The sequence below is a fragment of the Homo sapiens genome, chromosome 9, assembly GCF_000001405.40.
Source record: "Homo sapiens chromosome 9, GRCh38.p14 Primary Assembly".
In the NCBI taxonomy this organism is placed as follows: domain Eukaryota; kingdom Metazoa; phylum Chordata; class Mammalia; order Primates; family Hominidae; genus Homo; species Homo sapiens.
The window spans coordinates 35,956,857-35,979,934 of NC_000009.12; the positions used below are offsets into that span (position 1 = coordinate 35,956,857).

Genomic DNA, 23,078 nt, shown 5'->3' on the forward strand with positions numbered 1-23,078 from the left:
GCCATGCGTCATGCTTTCATGGCTGCTGTCTCGTGTGGTTTTACCGTATGTTCAGAATGCCTTCATCACAGTTGATTATTTATTGAGTCTGGTGTCTGTTGAAGCTGTCAGACATAGGACTAAAACTCAGGAGATATCGTCTGAAAAGTTTAATATCTCCTGCAAATGGACTTAGAGTGAGAAACCATTATAGGTCACATGACTTGGCTTTTGAATGGCAGCTGATGTGATTGTGATTCCTTACTTCCATGTGGGTGACAATCACAGAGGACCCTTCCACCATCACTGAGTGAAGCCTTTTGGTCTCAGCAGTCTCCTCACAGCAGCCTTCACATCCTTGTTCCTCAGGCTATAGATGATGGGGTTGAGCATCGGGGTCACCACCCCATAGAAAAGGGGGATGAGTTTGTCTGAAAGATCCTCTTTGTCTGCTCCCATGGAGTCCTTAGACTTAGGCTTCCCATACATGAAGAATAAGGTCCCGTAGAAGACGATCACCACGGTGAGGTGGGCAGAGCAGGTGGAGAAGACCTTTTTCCTCCCCTCAGCTGAGGGGATCCTCAGGATGGTGGTGATGATGAAGACATAGGAGAAAGAGATGAACAGAACCGGGACTCCTAGGAAGATCACATTCGTCACCTCCATGCTGATCACATTGATGGAAATGTCAGCACAGGCCAACTTTAGAACAGCCAGAATCTCACAGGTGAAGTGGTTGATGACATTGTCTCCACAGAAGGGCAGCTGAATTGCCAAGGATGTGTGTACCACGGAAGCAGCACCACCAATAGCCCAGGAGCTGGCAGCCATGGGCATGTAGGCAGCCTTGCTCATGATCACGGAGTACCTAAGGGGGTTGCAGATGGCCACATAGCGATCAAATGCCATCATGCTCAGGAGCAAGCACTCTGTTCCTGCCATGGCAAAGGAGAGTGCCATCTGCACAGCACAGGCTGAGAAGGAGATGGTTTCCTGGGGAGTCAAAAAGCTGTCCAGGACCAGTGGGACTGAGGAGGTAGTGAAGCAGATGTCCAGGAAGGAGAGGTTCCCTAGGAAGAAGTACATGGGCGTGTGCAGGCGGGAGTCAAGGATGGTCACCAGGATGAGGACCCCATTGCCCAGCAGGATCACGAGGTACATCAGCAGGATGAGCACGAAGAATGTCTTTTCCAGCTCTGGGTGGGCAGAGAGCCTCAGGAGAACGAACCCCATCACAGGGGAGGTCTCATTGGCTTTTTCCATGTGATATCCCCTCTGCCATCAGCAAAGTACTGAGCAGCGCATCAGGCTTTTTGGGAAGAGTCCTAGGCATCTAATATGTGGTCAAGTTCCCATTGCATAATAGAAGAACATATCTGTGCAAGAGAAAAATGACGGAAAGAGACAGTAGGGGGTGTCTTAGAAGACAGAAGGTCAGAGCTGGACAGGTAGTGGGTGAGGGCCTCAAATGTCCGGTTGTGCATGAGGGATTTTTCTGAAGTTGCTGCACCCTCTCAGTGTCCACAAAGGTGATAGAGGCCTGGGGAGGAGAAGTGACCTGTCCAAATCTTCTGAGCAAGTTGGTGACAGAGACAAGACTTGAACCCAGCAGAGCATATCCCTGGCCCAAGGAGGGCTTTTCCTCTTCATTGTGATTAAGTGCTAGGAAATGCTATGAATTATTTCTCTTTAATGCAAATCCACAGCAATTTCATTTGATCTGGGCTTTCTTAGATTCTCAGAGAGGAAAATTCCCAAGAAGATGCAATTCTTGGACCTAGCAAGTGATTAAGTTTCTTTAAACTTTGATTACACGTGGGGAGGAAATTGCGCAAAATTGTTCAACCATATTCACACAGAAACAAGCCTAGTTAATATTCAGCCATAAAGAGCATTACTTCTTCAGTCTAGTGACACAGGCTTGAGCATTGACAGGAATAGATCTGCCTATTTGAAATATGGATTTATTGCAATATATGGGGAGGTCCTATAGCTGGGAAATTTATGAAGCCAACAAATGGATTTGTTGGAGTGACTGAACTCACACCATGAGACAACACTGTGTAGCTTACCAGTTAGTTAATGCAATATTAATAACCACACTCTAACTATAGTTATCGATAGTAGAGTATATGGCATTAACTTCTGATCCCATCTCATTAGGATGTCTGTGAAATTCCTAACCGTGAATGACTAAGAATGTTTTTTCTTTGTCCTTTTATGTTTGCATTTTATTCTTGCATTATCTTCTGACTCTCTGACTCCATTCTTGAGTTCTATGCAAGCAGCTGGCTTATAGGAAGACTTATATGCCTTTGTATAGAGGATATCTAGTCTCTTACTTGCAATTTCCCTGACTCTAAATTCAAAGTACTCATAGATAATATTTTGATAGCTCCTTCTTAATGACAGTGGCTCTATGAGTGTGTATAAGAGTGGGTGGATGATGGAAGATGAGTGGTTAATATTAATATTAGTGAGAATATTAGGGATTCTCACTAATATTAAGGAATATAAGCTGTGCCATATTTCTTGAAACAGCTCATGGAGAAGATATTATCATTCAGGTTTTACAGGTGAAGTAACTGGAGCTCAGAAGATAAATTTGCTCCTTGGGGTTGAATGGCAGAGCTGGAGTTGGATTCCAAGACCTAGTCCTGAGTTCTTTCACGAAACAGCTGCTTTTCTCTTTTGGTGCACAGCTTTGCAAAAGATTCTGTCCCTCCAATATTAGACAGATCTTATAGTCCTATTTATAATTTTCTCTGTGCTAATATTGCTATAGCATAATGATAAATTAAAAGGACAAAGTCAAACTTGTACACACTGTTATGATCTCAATTAGCTCTGTGTATTCTCTGGCCAGTCTCACTGTCTGTCCAACACTCTCTCTTCAGTCATGGGGGAGGGTTTATGTCAGATGTGTTGTCAGGCAGTGCACCTCCCACCCTAAATGGAACTCAGGGTTTCTCAAATTCTTTACGATTGACATTTTGTGCTGGATAACCCTTTGGTGTGAGGGCTGTCCTGTGCATTGTAGGATGTTTAGCAGAGTCTCTGACCTCCACCAATCAGTTGCCAATAGCACCTTCTACCCTGAGTTGTAACAATCAAAATGTTTCCAGACGCTGCCACATGCTTCCAGGGGAAAGGTGTGTGTGTTGGGGCGGGGGGGGGGGGGTTGGCGGGGGGGACGGTGCAAAATTATACCCAGAAGAGAACGATTGGTCTAACCCAGGAGAAGCTTCCCCCATTACACAACCATGGGTCTCAAGGTATTTCCTGTGCAATCCTATTCCCCTCTTCCCATCCCTTCATACAGCACAGAAGGGTGTTCCTGGTTGCTCAGTGCAAGCTGACCCCCTCTGAGTGCCCCACCCTGAACTTCCACCCCAGCTTATCTCCTGTTCCTCCTAGTGCACCTCTCACCCACTCCAGAAAATGAAGAAAAGCAAACATTATATTCAGTGCCACAAACCAGATTCAAGCAGATGCTGTGGTTGCAGAGGCCAAGGAAAGTGATTTCTGTTAGGGAAGCCACACTGCGCATTCCCACAAGATAAATCTATGCACACAGAAGTTTCTATCCATGAATAACATCCTGTGGGCATGAATGATGCGTGGGATTTGGCCTCCTTGAGAGCTGCCTCTGTGGAAGCCTCTGTCTGTTATGAAAAGTTGCTGAGTACATTTGTTTAATTGAAATGAACTGTACAGCTGGGAAGACTCTGCACTCTGAGATCAGAGCTAGTGGAACTACCCCTGCCTGGGTGATGGATATTCCATCAAGCTGGAGTAAGTCTCTTCTCCCCCCTAGGCCTCAGTTTCCCCATGTGCTCCATGAGAAGGCTGAATAATTGCTTCCCAGGGCATCCCAGCTCTGAGGGTTGTCGTGGACCCTCCAGTGCTGACCTCTGCAAGCAGGGAGCGGTCCTTGATGAAGGTGGCTGCCCACACTGATGAATGTGAGGGGTGTGTGTGTGTGTGTGTGTGTGTGTGTGTCTGTGTGAAGGGGAGATCTGAATTCCTGGTTGTCCATCAAGAAACATTCAACAGTTAGTAGAGCTATGTCAGGTTTTGGAAGGGATTCAGAATGAAAGCAAACAAAGAGGTCTGGCACCTGCAGCCCCATAAGAGGAGGGAGAGAAGCGGGGAGGTGGGAGGCAGCTAGGGAGAGCAAGGGGAAGAGGGGAAGCTTTGGGCTCAGTGGCCGCTTCCTGCAGGCATGGAGCCTTGGTTTGTCCCAGGGACCTGGCTTGGCTCATGGTCTTGTCTCTACCTGTTCTGGAGCCAGCAGGCAGATGAGAAGTAGGAGGCAACGTGGTGCTGTAAAAAGAGCGCCATACACTCTCATGCAGCCTTTCTGGAGGGAAATTTGCCTAGGAAAAGGAAAAATTCAAAAAACCTGCCTGCCCCTCACCTCAGCTGTTCTCCCTTCAGGAAATGTGTTAAAGAATCAGTGAGCATGGAGGCCAAGATCTCTCAATAAAGGTATTTATCACAGCAGTATTTGTGAATGAAAATAGAAAACAATACAGCTCTCCACCAATAAGTGCCTAAGTAAATCATGCTTTTCACATAATGGAATATTAGACAGACCTCATAGTCCTATTGGTAATTTTCTCCATGCTAATATTACTATAGCATAATGATAAATTAAAAGGGCAAGGTCAAACTTGCACACACTATTATGATCTCAATTAGGTAAGCAATCATGTGGATAGAAAGTGACTGGAGGCCGGGCGCAGTGGCTCACGCCTATAATCCCAGCACTTTGGGAGGCCGAGACAGGCAGATCGCTTGATGTCTGGATTTCAAGACCAGCCTGGTTAACATGGTGAAACCCCGACTCTACTAAAAATACAAAAAACGTTAGCAGGGCATAGTGGCATGTGCCTGTAATCCCAGCTACTTCGGGGGCTGAGGTGGGAGAATCATTTGAACCCGGGAGGCGGAGGTTGCAGTGAGCCGAGATCACGCCATCGCACTCCAGCTTGGATGACAGAGACTCCATCTCAAAAAAAAAAAAAAAAAAAAAAAAAAGCGACTGGAAAGAAAAGATAGCAAAATCCATAGGGGCAGAGCATTCCTCTCGGTACCTCTTCAGTGTTTCCCAAATTTTCTCTGAATACCATGGATACGAGTTATTTTGTATTCAGAAAAAATCTCAGCATTTCTCAGAGGCGGGTGAGAGAAACGGAAAGCGCTAGCCGCAGAGTGGGCTTAGAGACAGGGCTGGGTACAGGCCCACCTGCCTCTCGCCCCCTGACCCTGAGGGAGTCCGCTTTTCCTCTGAGCCTCCCTTCCTCGCCTGTGGAGTGGGATGGAAGCCCTGCCAGGCCCCCTCGGGGCTTGCGTAGGGACAGAGCAGCAAGGACAGGGAGGGGACTTGGTTCATGGGGTCCCCGGCGGGCACTGGGAGCCCAGCAGCTCCTCTCTGCCCCAGCAGCAGCTGCTGCTTAGGACCAGTGGCAGCTGGGAGGTTTCTGGAAGCAGAGGCGGGGCGAGGAGGAAAGCGCATCTGAGGCAAACGTCCTGCAAGAGGCATGTCCCCATCCCTGCCCCGCCCCATCCCTGCCCCCGCCCCAGCCCAGCTCTCCCCATCTGCTTCTTGCGCGATGGCCGCTTCTGAGTCTCCTGATTCCACACGCAATTCTCAGTTCCTCCCTGGATCCCTGGCTAGACACTGTGCCAGAGAAAGACCCCCGACATGCCCCTGCCTTACCTGGGAGACCCTCTTTCTTCTTTTTCCTCTTAAATCGTGTGGGCACTTTAGCCTTTGGTGGTGTTTCTCTCACTTCATTCCTTTCAGCTGTGCTGGCTAAATGCTGCTGTCCCAGCTCCAGACTCTTCATGAAGAGGATCTGGCTTCCTGGCCTGAGGCCCAGAAATCCCGAAGGTAGGTTTTCCCCAGCAGCCGAAGGAATCCTCGAGCCGCACCGTGTACTCTATGGGGCCCCTGACACATTAGTTACTCCAGGGCCCTGCTAATCCCACAAGTAATTTAAAGTTTGGAGTGCCACATGTGCACAGGGCACAGGTCGATGCATACCTGGGAGCTCCAGGGACCACACCCCATCCCAATTAGAGGTGGTGACAGGGGCCCAGCCACTGGACATGGAGAGGAGACCTCAAAAATGCTGGCTCCCCCCTGAGCTTTCCCTCAGGTGTCAGAGAAACAAAGATGGTGCTCGCTTCAGGGAAGAGCACCTTGTCCCCAGGTTGAAGTCCTAGAGATCCAGAATGGTTGACAAGACAGATGTCTTCCAACAGCAGCAGCAGCAGCAGCACAAGCTCCATCTATGGAGCGCTACCATGTGCCGGGCACACTGACAAACACCGTACATATACGGTATGCATGTGACGCATGTGTGTTGAGCACCTACTTTCAGTCGGCCCAGGAGATTCGTATGATCCCCCGATGTTTTCATTTGAGGGACAGCCTTCAAAAAGTTAAGCAATTTACCAATGATCACTAGTGAGTGGCAGAGCTGGGATTTCAGTCTCAATACACCTGATTCTCTTTTTCATCACTTGTAGTCATCATCATCATCATCACCACGACTGTCATAATTATTAGTAGGTATTACTTGACTTGGAACAAAATTAAGATGCAGAAGTGTATATATTAAAAATTAAGCCTCACTCTCCAATTACTCAGTCATTCTCTCTTGCGGCAAGCAATATTAGCAATTTCTTGTGTGATTTTTTTCCCTAGAGATATTCTATACTAATAAATATTTTTGAGACAAGCTAAGCAGAAATATACATTGTTTTACTATCTTCCTTTTCTCATTTAAAAATATACATTGGAGAGTTTTCCTGAAAAAAAAAATTGCTGCCTCATTCTTTTAAATGGCTACATACACTCCATTGTGTATGTTAAAGAATGGGTGTGCCATCCTTTAATTAGCCAGTCGGCTACCGGTGGTCTTTTTTTGGTTTTAGATGGAGTCTTGGTCTGTCACTCGGGTTGGAGTGCAGATCTTGGCTCACAGCAACTGCTGCCTTCTGGATTCAAGCGTTTCTCATGCCCCAGCCTACGAGTAGCTGGGATTACTGATGTGCACCACCACGCCGGCTAATTTTATTTTATTTTTATTTTTTGAGATGGAGTCTCACTCTATTGCCCAGGCTGGAGTGCAGTGGCACAATCTTGGCTCACTGCAACCTCCGCCTCCTGGGTTCCAGCAAGTCTCCCACCTCAGCCTCCCGAGTAGCTGGGATTACAGGCGTGTGCCACCACACATGGCTAATTTTTTTTATTTTTTAGTAGAGATGGGGTTTCACCATGTGGGCCAGGCTGGTCTTGAACCCCTGACCTCAAGTGATCCGCCCACCTCGGCCTCCCAAAGTGCTGGTATTACAGGCTGAGCCACTGCACCCAGCCACTGATGGCCATTGATTTTCCAACCTTGGGCTATTACTATCAATGCTACAACAAATACCATTGCATAGTCATAATTTAGCACATGTGGTGAAAATATATCTGTTTTATGCTCACTTGTAATTTTGATAGAGATTGTCAAATTCACACGTTCCTCTCATCAGTGAATGAGAATGTCTGTTTTTCCACACTCTGCCAACATAGTATGTTGGCCTTTGGGGCTTAGCCAATTTGATAGGTGAGAAGTTATATGGCATTATAGTATCTAAAACTTGGTACTTAAAATTTTTGGTATGTGTAATAATTTAAAATGTGAAATATAGCACACATGTACACATTAATATAAGAGTATATAAAACATATTTTTAATCTAGAGAATATTAGCAATTACCACCTAACTTAAGAGACAGACATTGCCAGTACCTTTGAGGCTCCCTCAGTATCCCTTTCTGATCCTAGTCCTCTTTCCCTCCTTCCAGAGATAACTACACTCCTGATTTTAGTTATAACCATTTCCTTGCTTTTCTTAAACTTTATCATCTATGTATGCATCCTTAAACAGTATCATTTAGGCTTGCCTCTTTCTAAACTCTGGATAAATGGTATCAGTCGTAGGTATTCTTTTTGACTTGTTTCTTCACTCAATATTATTATGTTTGTGAGATTCGTCTATGTTTATGAGCGTAGCTAAGTTTGTTAATTTACATTGTTAAAATCCATTAAATGAATGTAGCATAGCTTATGTATACATTCTACTTTGATGAATAATTGGGTTGCTTCCCAGTGAATGCTGCTATGAATATTTTGTACATTTCTCCTGGTATACATACATATTCCCGATTTTCCTAATTGAATTTACAACCCATCCTTTCTCCACCGATCTGCAATACCATCTCTGCCATGCATCAGGTCTCCTAACAGGAATGGATCTGTGTGTGGCGTTTCTAATCGTTTCCATTGGTTTACTTGTCTATTCCTGTGTCATCACTACACTGCCCTCATTGATTGCTTTATAGTATGTGTTCATTTCTCGTAGGGTACCTCCCTTCATCTCCACCCAATACTTCTTCAAATATGTCATAGCTGTTGTTAGTCCTTTTGTTCTTCTATATAAACTATACAACCAGCTTATTAAATTCTACAATATTTCTTTCTGTGGTTTAAAAATTGGGATAGGGCTGACTGCGGTGGCTCACGCCTGTAATCTCAGCAGTTTGGGAGGCCAAGGTGGGTGGATCACTTGATGTCAGGAGTTCGAGACCAGCCTGGCCAACATGGTGAACCCCCATCTCTACTAAAAATACAAAAATTAGCCAGGCATGGTGGCGTATGCCTGTAATCCCAGCTACTCGGGTGGCTGAGTCAGGAGAATCGCTTGAACCCAGGAGGTGGAGGCTGCAGTGAGCTGAGATCACGCCACTGCACTCCAACCTGGGCAACAGAGTGAGACTCTGTCTTTAAATAAATAAATAAATAAATAAATAAATAAATAAAATTGGGATAGCATTGACTCTATAGATCAAATTGAAGAGAACTAACATCTTTATAACATTGAGTTTTCCCACCTGTGATTGATAGACTGTTCTCTCTTTATTTTAATATTATTCAAAATTTTTTATAATTTATACTTCCATGCCTAAAGATCTTGGAGCTCTTTGCCAGGTTTACCCCTAGTTAATGTATATTTCTTGGTATCTTTAAAAAAATTTCATTTTCTCTTGCTGGAATGTAGAAATGCAGTAGATTTCTTTTTGCTGTTAATTTAGTGTCTAGTGACCTGGCTAAACTCTCTTTTCTTTTTTTTTTTTTTTAAATAAAATTTTTATTTTCTATTTCTTTTAAAATTTATTTTCATTTTTTAAAAATCTGTCCCCACAATCTATTCTCATAAACTGTTTTCAATTCTTATAATATGTCTGTAAATTATTTTAGATTTTCTCATAGGTCACAAGTAATATCATCTGTGAATAATGATGGTTGTTTTTCTTGCTTCAAAAATTTTAGACTTCTTGTCTCTTTTTCTTGCTTTGCTGCACAAGCTGGTTCCTTCAGTTCAATGCCGAATGAAAAGTGGCAATAGCAAACATCCTTACCTCATTCCCATCTCACAGAGAATACTTTCACTATTTTCACCATTTAGTATGATATTTGCCATAGATTTTCATAGATAACATTCAAAAGAATGTTCCCTTTTGTTCCTGGTTGGCTAAGAATATTTATTATGAGAAGGCATTGAATTATTGTTACCTGTTTTAAAAACCTCTAAACTTTGAAATAATTATAGATCCATAGAAAGTGGCAAAGATAGTACGAAGATGTCTCTTGTATCCTTCTGCTAGTTTCACCTGCTTGTTACACCTTACCTAAATACACAATATTCAATACGCAATAGCATACCAGGAAATTGACATTGGTGCAATGTGTATGTGTATAGTTCTATTTCATTTTATCACATGTGTGGATTCATACGACCACTAGCGCAATCAAGACATGGTACTATTCTATCACCACAAAGGTCTCCCCCATGCTATCCCTTTCTAGTCATCCCTACTCCCCTCCCTTCCCCATCTGTAACCCCTGGCAGCCACTAATTTGTTTTCTATCCCCACAATTTGGTCATTTGAGAATGTTATAGAAATGGAATCATATAGTTTGTAATCTTTTGATACTGACTTTTTCTCACTCAGTGTAATGCTGTGAGGTCTATTCATGTTGCTGCATGTATCAGTAGTTAATTTCTGTTTATTGCTGAGTAGTATTCTATGGCATGGATGTACCAAAGTTTGTTTATTCATTCACCCATTTTAGGACATTTTTGTTGTCCCAATTTTTGGTTATTGCAAATAAAGCTACTGTGAACAATTGTATAGTAGCTTTTTTTGTGCAGACATAAATGTTGATTTCCTGGGATAAATGCCAGAGTGTTATTTAGTTTAGTGTAATTGCTGAGTTATATGGTAAGCATATATTTAGTTTTTTAGGAACTGCCTGTTTTCCAGAGTAGGTGTGTCAATATACACCTCCCACTAATAACGTGTGAGAGATCTAGTTTCTCTGAATCCTTGCCAACTTCAGTGCTGTGAACATGTTTTATTCTACCTGTTTCAATAGGTGTGAAGTGATACCTTATGGTCTTAATTTGCGTTTGCATAAAAGTTAGTGATGTTGAACATCTTTTCATTGCTATTTGCCACTGTATATCCTGTTTGGACAAGATGTCTCTTCATGTATTTTGCCCATTTTCTAATTGAATTATTGTTATTGTTGTTTTATACTGTCAGATTTTGAAAGTTGTTTTGGTGACATCCAAATTTATCTTTTTTTCATGAATTTTGCTTTTTGTTGTTATGCCTAAGAACTCTCCACTATGCTGTATGTTTCAAGGTTTCTCTCCTATATTTTTTGCTAGAAGAGTTATAGTTTTACCCTTTAAATTTAAATCTGCGATCCATTGTGAGTTAATTTTTATTTGTTACCTGGGGTACAAGGTGACATTTCAATATCTGTATACAATGTACAATGATAAAACCAAGGTTTTTTTTTTTTTAGCATATCCATCACCTTGAACATTTAGCATTTCTTTGTGTTGGAAACATTCAAAATACCCTCTTTTGGTTATTTGAAAATATAGCATAAATTATTATTAACTACAGTTACCTTACAGGGCTAAAGAACACTAGAACTTATTCCTTCTCTCTAGCTATAATTTTGCATGCATTAGTCAAATTCTCCCTCCTCCACCACCCCCACTTCCCAGCCTCTAGTTATCACCACTCTATTTTCTACTTCTATGAGATCAACTTACTTCACTTCCACATATTAGTGAAAACATGTGGTATCCATCTTTCTGTGCCTGGCTTATTTCACTTAACATGTCCTCCAGGCTCATCCACGTTGCTGCAAATAACAGGTTTTATTCTTTTTTATGGCCAAATAGTATTCTATTTTGTATAAAAACCACATTTTTTTCGTTCATTCATCTCTTGATGGACACTTAGGTTGACTCCATATCTTTGCTATTGTCAATAGTGCTGCAATAAACACGGGCGTGCAGATAGCTCCTCAACATGCTGATTTCCTTTCCTTTGGATATATACCCAGTAGTGGGATTGCTGAATCACGTGGTAAGACTTTTTAGTTTTTTCAGGAACCTTCATACTCTTTTCCATAATAGCTATAGTAATTTATATTCTCAACAACAATGTGTGCATTCTCTTTTTTTCTGCATCCTTGCTAACATTTGTTATTTTTCTCTTTTGATAATAGTCATTTTAACTGGGGTGAGATGATGTCTCACTGCAATTTTGATTTGCATTTCCCTGATGATTACTGATATTGAGCATTTTTCATATACCCATTGGTCATTTGCATGTCTTCTTTTGAGAAATGTCTATTCAGAACATTTGCCAATTTTTAAATCATATTATAGTTGACCTTTGAACAGTGTGAGGGTTAGTGACTTCAACCCCCAGCACAATTGAAAATCCATATACAACTTTTGACTCCTCAAAAACTTAATCGCCTACTCTTGACTGGAAGCTTTACCAATGTCATAAGCATTCAGTTAACACTTATTTTGTATGTTATATGTATTATATACTTTATTCTTACAATAAATTAAGTTAGAAAAAGAAAATGCTATTAAGAGAATCATAAGGAAGAGAAAATATATTTGTTATTCATTAAGTAGAAGTGGATCATCATAAAGGTTTTCATCCTTATTGTCTTCATGTTGAGTAGGCGGAGGGGGAAGTAGAGAAGGGAGGGTTGGTCTTGCTGTCTCAGAGGTGGCAGAGGTAGAAGAAAGATTATGTATAGGTGAACCTGTACAGTTCAAACCGCTGTTCAAGGGCCAACTGTATTTTTGTTGTTGTTGGTTTTGGCCACTGAGTTATTTGTATATTCTGGATATTAATCCCTTCTCAGATAAATATTTTCTCCCATTCTGCAGATTGTCTCTTCACTGTGTTGATCAGTTCCTTTGCTGTGCAGAAGATTTTTAGTTTGATATAATCCTCTTTGTTTATTTTTGGTTTTGTTGCCTGTGCATTTGGTTTTGTTGCCTCTGCATTCTTCATAAAAATCTTTGCCCAGACCAGTGTCCAAAAGTGTTTTTCCTATGTTTTTTTCTAGTAGTTTTATAGCTTTGGGTCTTTAATTCATCTTTAGTTTATTTTTGTATACGGTAAGAGATGGGTATCTTAGTTTCATTATTCTGCATATAGGTATCCAGTTTTACCAACATCATTTTTTGAAGAGACCGTCCTTTCCCCAATGAATGTTTCTGGCACCTCTGTCAAAAATCAGTTGGCTGTAAATATGTGAATTTATTTCTGAGTTCTGTATTCTGTTTCATTGTGTTTTTTTTTGTTTGTTTTTTTTTTTAGACAGAATCTTGCTCTGTCACCAGGCTGGAGTGCAGTGGTGCAATCTCGACTCACTGCAACCTGCGCCTCCCAGATTCAAGCAATTCTCCTGCCTTAGCCTCCCAAGTAGCTGTGACTACAGGCATGTACCACCACGCTCAGCTAATTTTTGTATTTTTAGTAGAGATGGGGTTTCACCATGTTGGCCAGGATGGTCTCCATCTCTTGACCTTGTGATCCACCCACCTTGGCCTCCCAAGGTGCTGGGATTACAGGCGTGAGCCACCGCACCTGGCCCCCCCCCCTTTTTTTTTTAATGAGATGGAGTCTCACTGTGTCACCCAGCCGGGAGTGCAATGGAGCGATCTCGGCTCACTGCAACCTCCGCCTCCTGGATTGAAGCGATTCTCCTACCTTAGCCTCCTGAGAAGCTGGGATTACAGGCACCCACCACCATACCTGGCTAATTATTGTATTTTTAGTAGAGACAGGTTTTTATCATATTGGCCAGTCCGGTCTCAAACTCCTGACCTCAGGTGATCCTCCCACCTCGGCCTCCCAAAGTGCTGGGATTATAGGCGTGAGCCACCCCACCCAGCCAGTTTCATTGTTCTATATATTTCTTTTTATGCCAGTGCCATGCTATTTTGGCTACAATAGCTGCAGTAGGAGGTCACATAGTATGATATCTCCAACTTTGTTTTTTTGTTCAGGATTACTTTGGCTACTCAGGGCCTTTTGTAGTTCCACAAGAATTTTAGGACTTTTAAAAATTTCTGTGAAGAATGTCATTGATATTTTGATAGGAATTTCATTGAAGCTGTAGTTTGCTTTTGGCAGTATGATCATTCATTTTAACAGTATGAATTCTTCCAATCCATAAACATGGGATGTCTTTGTATCATTTTGCATCCACTTTAATTTCTTTCATCAGAATTTTATAATTTTCCTTGTAGAGGTCTTTTACATCTTCAGTTAAATTTATTTCTAGGTATTTTTGGTGTGACTATTGTAAGTAAAATTGCATTCTTGATTTCTTTTTCAGCTAGTTTGTTATTGGTGTATAGAAACACAACTGATTTTTGTGTATTAATTTTTGTATCCTGCTACTTTACTGATTTCATTTTTTGGTTCTAAGTGGCTTTTTTTTCTGGTGGAGTTTTTGGGTTTCTCTCTGTATAAGGTCATGTCTTCTTCTATAAACAAGAATAATTTTACTTCCTCCTGTCTAACCTGAATGTCCTTTATTTCTTTCTCTTACCTGCTTGCTCTGGGTAGGACTTTCAGTACAATGTTGAGTAAGTGTGGTAAAAGGATTTTATAATTTTCCTTGTAGAGGTTTTTTTTTTTTGACAATTATTTAAGACCTTTATTAACAGGTGCTTGCAGTTTGTTGACTTTTTTGAAAAAATCAAGTTGTAAACTTTTATTACAAATTAAAAATGAAGTTCTTAAAAATCTCAACTTGACCAGATATGAAACAATTTAAAAACCTTTAAAGGCGTATTGAAAAAAACCAGGCTTTTTTAAAAAACACGTTTGTTATTACCAAAAAGAGACGTCTTTAGGTAAAAATAATAAAAATCCCATGCTGCATAGATAATGCAGATAGTTCTATTTATCTGGTCAACGGGCAAAAAGCAAGCACTTAAGGTCTTCAGCTCCAATCTTTTGTTCATTTCTTATAGCTGGAATTTCATATTTCTTCCTGTTGGATGACTAAACCGGATGATGGTAGAGATGGTAAGCTGGCATTTACTCAGTCCTGCCCCGCTCAGCCTCAGGAGTGGACGAATTCTCAGCTGGTGGATCGGCTGCTTTTGTCTCTTTGCCATCTTGTGGTTTAGGGTTTTCTGGGTGTCTGCGTCGGCAATTGAAGTTGCGGCGGTACCGACGTTGAGGTGGCTGCTGACCTTGGGTCTCATCTCCTTGATTTTCTTTATCTTCATCATTGCCGTCCTCTCTAGGCTGTCTTTGGCGTGGAGGGCCCCTGCGGAATCGTGGTCTATATCCCCGATACGTATTCTGCCTCACTGGTCTACCTTGTTCTCCTGCACCCTGGTTGTCAGCACCCTCCATCACTTCACCCTGCACAGGAGGGTTGGAATACTGTGGTCGACGCCCATAGGGTCTCCGCATGTAGTAAGGTGGGAACCTTCGCCTGCGGTAGGGCCGGCGTTGTTGGGCTTGGCCTGCGGGAGCACTCTCCGATCCCTCGTTCTTTTCCCCACTCTCACTATTCTGGTAATTTTGCTGGTAATTGCGTGGAGGACCCTACGACGTGGATAGCGTCTATAATGGTTACGGTCTGCTGCATATGTACTGCCTTGAACTGGAACACCACCAGGCCCTGTAACATTTGCTGCCTCCGCACCCTTTTCTCCTTCAACAACATCAAACTCCACAGTCTCTCCATCTCCTACACTGCGAAGGTACTTCCTGGGGTTATTCTTCTTTCTGGCAGTCTGGTGTACAAATACATCTTCCTTGGTGTCATTCCTGTTGATGAAACCATATCCGTTCCTTACACTGAACCATTTTACTGTTCCCAAAACCTTCGTTGCGATGACCTTCTTGTCCCCGCCGGCAGGCGCCGCCGATGTGAGGCCGCCCGGGCCACCGCTTCCTGCGCCGCTGCCTGCAGTGCTGGGGTGGGTGTCGGCGGCGCTGAGGGCGGGGGCGGCGTGGGGGAGCGGCGGGCGGCTGCTGGGTCTCGGCCTCGCTGCTCATAGTTGCGGTGATGGTGACTGGGGCCGGCTGCGGCAGCTGCGGCTTCTCCCGGGGTGTGATGGTAACTAGGCCGGCGGCGGAGGTGGGGCTGCCCAGGGCTCTCTGGGGTCAGCTCTCCGCTCCCGCTACCGATTGAACTCTCCTTGTAGAGGTCTTTTACATCCTCAGTTAAATTTATTTCTAGGTATTTTTGGCGTGACTATTGTAAATAAAATTGCATTCTTGATTTCTTTTTCAGCTAGTTTGTTATTGGTTTATAGAAACACTACTTATTTTGTGTATTAATTTTTGTGTCCTGCTACTTTACTGATTTCATTTTTTGGTTCTAAGTGGCATCCTTGTCTTGTTCCAGTTCTTTGAGAAAAAGCATTCAACTTTTTCTCACTTAATATGATGTTAGCTGTGGGTTTGTCATATGTGGCCTTTATTGTGTTGAGGTACATTTCTTCTATACCTGTTTTGTTGAGAATTTTTATCATGAAAGAATGTTAAATTTTATCAAATCATTTTTCTGCATCTATTGAGAGGATCCTATGGTATTTTTCCTTCATTCTGTTGATGTGATAATCACATTTATTAATTTGCGTATGTTGAACCATCCTTGCAAGCATCCCTGACATAAATCCTACTTGATCATGGTGTATACATTTTTTGATGTGCTGTCAGGTTTGATTTGCTGGTATTTTGTTGAAGACTTTGCATCTATGTTCATCAGGAATATTGGCCTGCATTTCTTTTTTTGTTGTGTCCCTTTCTGCTTCTGGTATCAGGGTAATGCTGACCTCATAGAGTAAGTTTGGAAAAATTTCCTCCCCTTCAATTTTTTGGAATGGTTTGTGAAGAATTGGTGTTAACTCTTCTTTAAATCTGAAGTAGAATTCAACAGTAAAGCCACTGGACTTGAGCTTTTCTTTGTTGGAAGACTTTTTTACTACTTCAATCTTGTTACTCATTATTAGTCAGTGCAGGTTTTCTGTTTATTTCTGGTTCTACCTTAGTAGGTTGTATGTGTCCAGGAATTTACCCATTTCATCTAGGTTTTCCAGTATGTTGATGTGTAGTTATTTATAATAGTTTCTAATGATTCTTTGCATTTTTGTTGTATCGGTTGTAATGTCTCCTTTTTTTATTTATGATTTTATTTACTTGGGCCTTTTCTTTTTTTTCTCCGTCTATCTGATGGTTTGCCAATTTTATTTATCTTTTCAAAAGACCAAATTTTTGTTTCCTTGATCTTTTATATACTTTTTAAATACTCTTTCATTTATTTATGCTCTAATCTTTATCATTTCTTTCCTCCTACTGATTTGGGGTTTGGTTTGTTCTTCCTTTTCTATTTACTTGAGGTACCCCAATAGGTTGTTTATTTGTATTCTTTTTACTTTTTTAATGTAGATGTTTATTGCTGTAAACTTCCCTCATAATACTGCTTTTGCTATGTCCCATTTTGGCATGTTGTGTTTCTATTTTCATTTATTTCAGGAAGATTTTAAATTTCCTTGTTAATTTCTTCACTGACTCACTGGTCATTCAGAAACATGTTTTCTAATTTCCATCTATTCATTACATTTCTAAAGTTCCTCTTGTTATTCATTTATATTTTTATTCCATTGTGGTCAAAAAATATATTTGATATTATTTCAACTTTTAAAAATTTGTTGAGATTTATTTTTTGGCTTAACATACAGTCTATCCTGGAGAATGTTGCATATACTGAGGTGAAGAATGTGTATGCCGCAGCTGGTGGATGAAATATTCTGCAAATGTCTGTAAGATTTGTTTGGTTCATAGCGCAGTTTAAATCCAATGTTTCTTTTTTGGTTTTCTGTCTAGATGATCTGCCCAATCCTGACAATGGGGTGGTAAAGTCCTTAACCATTATTGTATTATGGTCTCTCTCCCTCTTTAGATCTAACGATTGCTTTATATATCTGGGTTCTCCAGTGTTAGGTTTATAAATATTTACAATTGTCATATAATCCTCCTGTGGAATTAATCCCTTTATCATTGGAGGGTGACCCTTTTGTCTCTTTTTACAATTTTTAATTTAAAGTCTATTTTATCTAGTATAAATATAGCTATTCCTGCTCATTTTTGGTTTCCATTTGTGTAGAATATCTTTTTCTATCCCTTCACTTTCTGTCTGTGTTTGTCTTTACAGGTAAAATTAGTTTCTTGTAGGCAGAATATAGTTGAGTCTTGTTCTTTTTATTCATTCAGCCAGTCTATATCTTTTAAATGGATAATTTAATTTGTTTACGTTCAAGGTTATTATTGATAGGTGAATACTTACTCCTGTCATTTTGTTATTTGTTTTCTGGTTGTTTTATATATCCTTTGTTTCTTTATTCTTCTTTTATTGCTTATCTTTGTGGTTTGGTGATTCTGTGTAGTTGATAAGGTTTGATCCTTTTCTTTTTCTCATTTGTTTATCTGCTCTAGCAGAGAGTTTTATACTTTCACATGTTTTCATGATGGTAGTTATTATCCTTTCACTTCAGATGTAAGACTCCCTTGAGCATTTCTTGTAAGGCTGGTCTAGTCATGCATTTTCTTGTTTTGCTTGTCTTGAAAAGACTCTATTTCCCCTTCATTTCTGAAGGATAGCTTTGCTAGGTATAGTAATCTTGGCTGCCAGTTTTTCCTTTCAGTACTTTGAATATATCGTTCTCCCTGGCCATAAGGTTTTTGCTGAGAAATCCACTATTAGTCTAATAGGTATTCCCTTGTATATGCCTTGATTCTTTTCTCCTGCTGTCTTTAAATTTTTCTCTTTGTTTTTGGCTTTTGACAATTTAACTATAATGTGCCTTGGAAAGGACCTTTTTGAGTTGACTTTGTGTGGGGATCTTTGAACTTCCTGGATCTGGATGTCTGTATCTTTACAAAGACTTGGGAAGTTTTCAGTTAATATTTCAGTAAGTAGGTTTTTTATGCCTTTCTAATCTCTATTCCTTCTGGAATTCCCATAATAGCAATATTTGTTTGCTTAATGGTATCCCATAAATCATGTAGGTTTTCTTCATTCTTTTAAATTATTTTGTCTTTTCTTTTTTTTTTTTTGGTTCCACTGGGTTATTTTTTCAAAAGATCTGTCTTTAAGTTGAAAAATTATTTCTCTGTTGTTGAAGCTCTCAATTGTATTTTTATTCTTTGAGTTATTCCGCTCCAAGGTTTGTTTAGTTCTTTTTTATGAACTCTTTCTCTTTGTTGAATTTCTCATTGTGATCATGAATTGTTTTTCTGATTTCATTGAATTATCTATCGATATTCTTTTGTATCTCACTGAGATTCCTAGGATCATTATTTTGAATTCCTTTTCAGACACGTCATAGATTTCCTTTCCTTTGGTTTTGTTATTAGAGAATTATTGTGTTCCTTTGAAGGTGTCATGTTTCCTTGTTTTTCATGTTTCTTGTGTTCCTACACTGATATTTGTGCATCTAATGGAGCAGTCAGCCCTTCCAAATTTATGGAGTAGCTTCCATAGGGAAAGCCTTTTTCCTGTAGATGTGTCCTGTATTGTTGGTTTGGTAGGGTGCTTTGAATTTTGTTCTGTGAGTGCAGTAATGCAGTCTCCATGTGATTTCTTTAGCTCTAATCAATGTCAGTGGTGGTGTCTGTGAGTGCCTCAGTGGCCTAGACTGAAGGTGTTTGTGGAGGCTGTTGTGTGGCTTTGCTAGAGGCAGGGGCTACTAGATGGGTTGGTTCTTAAGTTCTTGCGGTGGGGGTGTGCACTGAGCATAGTGTCTCCACCAGTTGTCAGGATGGTGTTGCCAGCTGCAGTGGGCACTGGACGAGCTGGTCCTTGGTTCCTGGGGGGTATACATGGTGCATGGCTACTTTGCAGTTGAAGGAGATGGGGTTGCTGGTGGCAGTGGGCACCACACAGGCAGGTTCTTCGTCCCTAGGGGGCATATATAATATGAGACGATTGGAGGGGGCAGGGTGACTGGCAGTGGTGGGTACCAGTTGGACCAGTTCTGGGTTCCTGGAATATGTTTGCAATGCGTGACAGTTCTGCCATTGGAGGGGACAGAGTCATTGGTGGTGGTGGGTATCAGGCAGCTTGTTTTATGGCTCTAAGGAATGTGTATGTCTGTTCCTCCAGTCCTGAGGGTGGCCTCCATGCTGTCCTGAACTGCCTGCTCCCTGGAGTGTAGGGCAATGCATAGACTCAGGTGCTGGGGTTAAGGCTGTACTGCTGGGTCTAGCTGGGGTGGTGGTGCAGTTTTCCATATGGGTATCAGGGGATGATGGCTGGTCTCCAAAAATGTAGACATGTAGTGGCTATAGGATCCCAGGTCAAGATGCACACCAACAGCAACCTCATTCCCCAAATGGCCACCATGCTGTAGCAGCTTTGGTCCTGGGAGTAAGGGGGCACTTGGTGTGTGTTCCTTCTTTAGAGCAATGAGGTTATGCAGACTCCAGGCAGCTCCCTATTATGGATTCAAGGCTTGTGAGACTTGTGAGGCATGCCAGCAGCTAAGATTGCAGATGTCCTCAGTTGAAATGGGGACTGCTGAGGAGCTCCTGCTTACCTTTTCCCCACAATGAGAAGTCCCTTTTGACTCTGAGCTGACCCCAGCTGAATGTTTCACTTCCCTGTCTATGCTGCCATCACATCCATGCCTCAGAGGGTTTTTGTCACTTTCTTGCTGTATTTCCGTGTTCTCCTTTAGTTGCTCTACTCACAGTACAGTTATTTGTTGTTTTCTTCTTCTTTGTGCAGGAGATGAGTGTTTGGCATCCCTAGTCAGCCATCTTGATCTGGTTTTCTTGTGAGTTAATTTTTGCACAATGTATGAGACTTTGGTTAAAGTTTTTGTTTTTGTTTTTTTCCTATGGATATTCAATTGCTCCAGTACCGTTTATTGCAAAGGCTATTCTTATGTCATTGAATAGCTTTTGCACTTTTGTCAAAAATCATTGGACATACTTATGTGGGGTTATTTCCTGACTCTCTATTCTGTTTCATTGATCTACGTGTCTGTTCCTCTACCAATACTACATGGTCTTGTGTACCCTTCACAAGATTATTGTAGCTATGTAAAAAATCTTAAAGCCAGCAATAGTGATTCCTTCCACTTTATTTTTACTTGTATAAAATTATTTTAGCTGTATGAGTTCCTTTGCCTTTCTATGTACATTTTAGAATAATTTTATCTATACATACAAAAAGTCTTGCTGGGATTTTGATAGAAATTGTGTTAAGTTTGCACATCAATTTGAATAGAGTTGATATCTTTGCTACAGTGAGTGTTCCAACCCATGAACACAGTATGTCTCTCCATTTATTTAGAGCCTTGAGTTCAGCATTTTTTAGTTTTCAGCATACATGTTCTATACATGTTTTGTTAGATTTATACCTCAGTATTTTTTTCTTTGGGGGAACACAGTCTTTCATCACTAAATATGATGTTAACTATGCTTTTTCAGTAGATATTCTTTATCAAATTGAAGAAGTTTCCCATCTATTTCTAGTTTTCTGAAAGCTTTTTGTCATTAATAGGTGTTATTTTTTAAAAGTGCTTTTTTTCTGCTTTAATTGATACGATTTCCATCCTTTTACTCTCAATTTACCTGTAGTTTTATATTTGAAACAAGTTTCTTGTAAACTCTATGTAGTTGGGTCAATTTTTAATCCACTCTTTCAATATCTGTCTCTTAATAGGCATATTTAGATGATTTATATTTAATATAATTATTGATATTTTAGTGCTTGAGTCTACTATTTTATTTTTGTTTTTTGTTTGTTCCCTCTTGAAATGACTAAATATATATGTCACCCCAAATTAATTTGTTTAAAACTAATACTCAATATGGTGGCATAATGAGGTGAAACATTTGGGAGATGATCAGGGCATAAAGGGCATGCTCTCATTAATGGGACAAGCACCCTTATAAACGAGGCCCTAGAGGGACCCCTTCCGCCTTACTCCATGTGAGGACACAATGAAAATGTACCTGTGTATGAGGAAGTGAGCTCTCATCAGACATTAAATCTGCCAATGCTTTGATCTTGGACTTCCCAGCCTCCAGATCTGTGAGAATTACTCAGTTTATGGTATTTTGTTATAGCAGACTGAACAGATTAAGACACTTCTGGTTTTTGTTACCCTGTTTCCTTTTCCTGCCTGCCTTTCTGTGGGTCACTTATATATACTTTAGAGTTCCATTTTGATTTATATACAGTGCATTTGAATGCACCACTGTGTAAAGATTTTTTTAGTGGTTAATCTAGGTATTATGTTATACATGCATACTTAATGTGTTCTAGTAGTAGCCACATTTCACCTGTTCAAGTGAAGTGTGAAAATCATACCTCCCTGTATATGCCTTTACTATCCCTCAGTGATAAGTGTGTTAAATAATTCCTCTAAATGCATTGAGAACTACATTAGGCAGTGTTATAATTTTGCTTCAACGATCAAATCTAAGTTTGAAAACTCAAGGGAAGATGGAAAGTCTATTATATTTACTCATATTTTATTCTTTCCATTGTTCGTTCTTTCTTGTGCTTCAGGTTACTTTATTTTATAATTTTTTTCTGTTAGAGAACTTATTTAGTCATTATTTTAGGGTAGAGTTGCTGATTACAAATTCTCCTACCTTTCCCTCATCACAGAACGTCTTCATTACATTTTCATTCCTGAAGGATTGAATTCTTACGTCACTAGATATAGAATTATGGTTTGACAGTTCTTTATTTTCGGTACGTGAAAAATGTTGCACCACTCCTTTTGGGCCTGTTTTGTTTCTTGTGAGAAATTCGTTGTTCTTCAAATTGTTTTTTCCCTGTGGGTGAAGTGTTCTTGCTCTTCCACTGCTTCAATATTTTTTCTTTGTCTTTTAGTTTTCAAAAGTTTGACTGTGATGTATCTTGATATGGATTTTTTTGGGTTTATCCAATTTGGAGTTTGCTCAGCTTTTTGGACTGGGAGGTTTATGTATTTTGAAAAATTTGGTAAAATTTTTCAGCCATTTTTTTTCAAATACCGTTTTAGCTCCATCTTTCTCATCTCCTTTCCATATTATGATGACACATGTATTAGATCTTTTGTTGTAATCCTACAGGTCTCATGGCTCCTTTCATTTTTTTATCAGTGGATTTTTTCAGTGTTGTTGGGATCGGGGTAATTTCCAATCAAGTTCACTGATTCTTTAATCCTTTCCCTCTATTCTGTTGTTGAGCCTATCTATCGAGTTTTTAAAATAAGTTATTGCATTTTTTTCAATTCTAAAATGTCCATTTGTTTTTTTCTTTATATCTTCTATTTATTTGCTGAGACTTTCTCTTTTTTCCTTTTGTCCCAAACATGTTTGTAATTGTTTGTTGAGGAATTTTTATTACACTCCTTTAAAAATCATTTTCAGATAATTCTAAGTAATAGCATCTATCAATTGTCTTTTATCATTCGATTTGAGATTTTCTTTTTTTCTTATTTATTTATTCATTTATTTATTTTTTATAGACAGGGTCTCACTCTGTCACCCAGGATGGAGTAGAGTGGTAAGACCATAGCTCACTGCAGCCTTGGCCTCCTGGGCTCAAGTGATCCTCCCACCTCAGCTTCCAGAGTATCTGGGACTACAGGCACATGCCACTGTGC

At 40.5% G+C, this 23,078-nt stretch overlaps 1 protein-coding gene and 1 pseudogene across 1 annotated transcript; both read right to left on the reverse strand.

Annotated features, from left to right (window-relative positions):
• Positions 1-251: 251 nt before the first annotated feature.
• On the reverse strand, positions 252-1,298 carry OR2S2 (olfactory receptor family 2 subfamily S member 2). The gene has a single exon (NM_019897.2). The coding sequence runs from the start codon at positions 1,240-1,242 to the stop codon at positions 283-285; it is 960 nt and encodes a 319-aa protein (NP_063950.2). The 5' UTR covers positions 1,243-1,298; the 3' UTR covers positions 252-282.
• On the reverse strand, positions 14,084-15,601 carry YBX1P10 (Y-box binding protein 1 pseudogene 10; annotated as a pseudogene).

What these genes read in the sequence shown, in the direction of transcription:
- OR2S2 (NM_019897.2), bottom strand. Translation starts at nt 1,242, where the DNA reads ATGGAAAAAGCCAATGAGACCTCCCCTGTGATGGGGTTCGTTCTCCTG.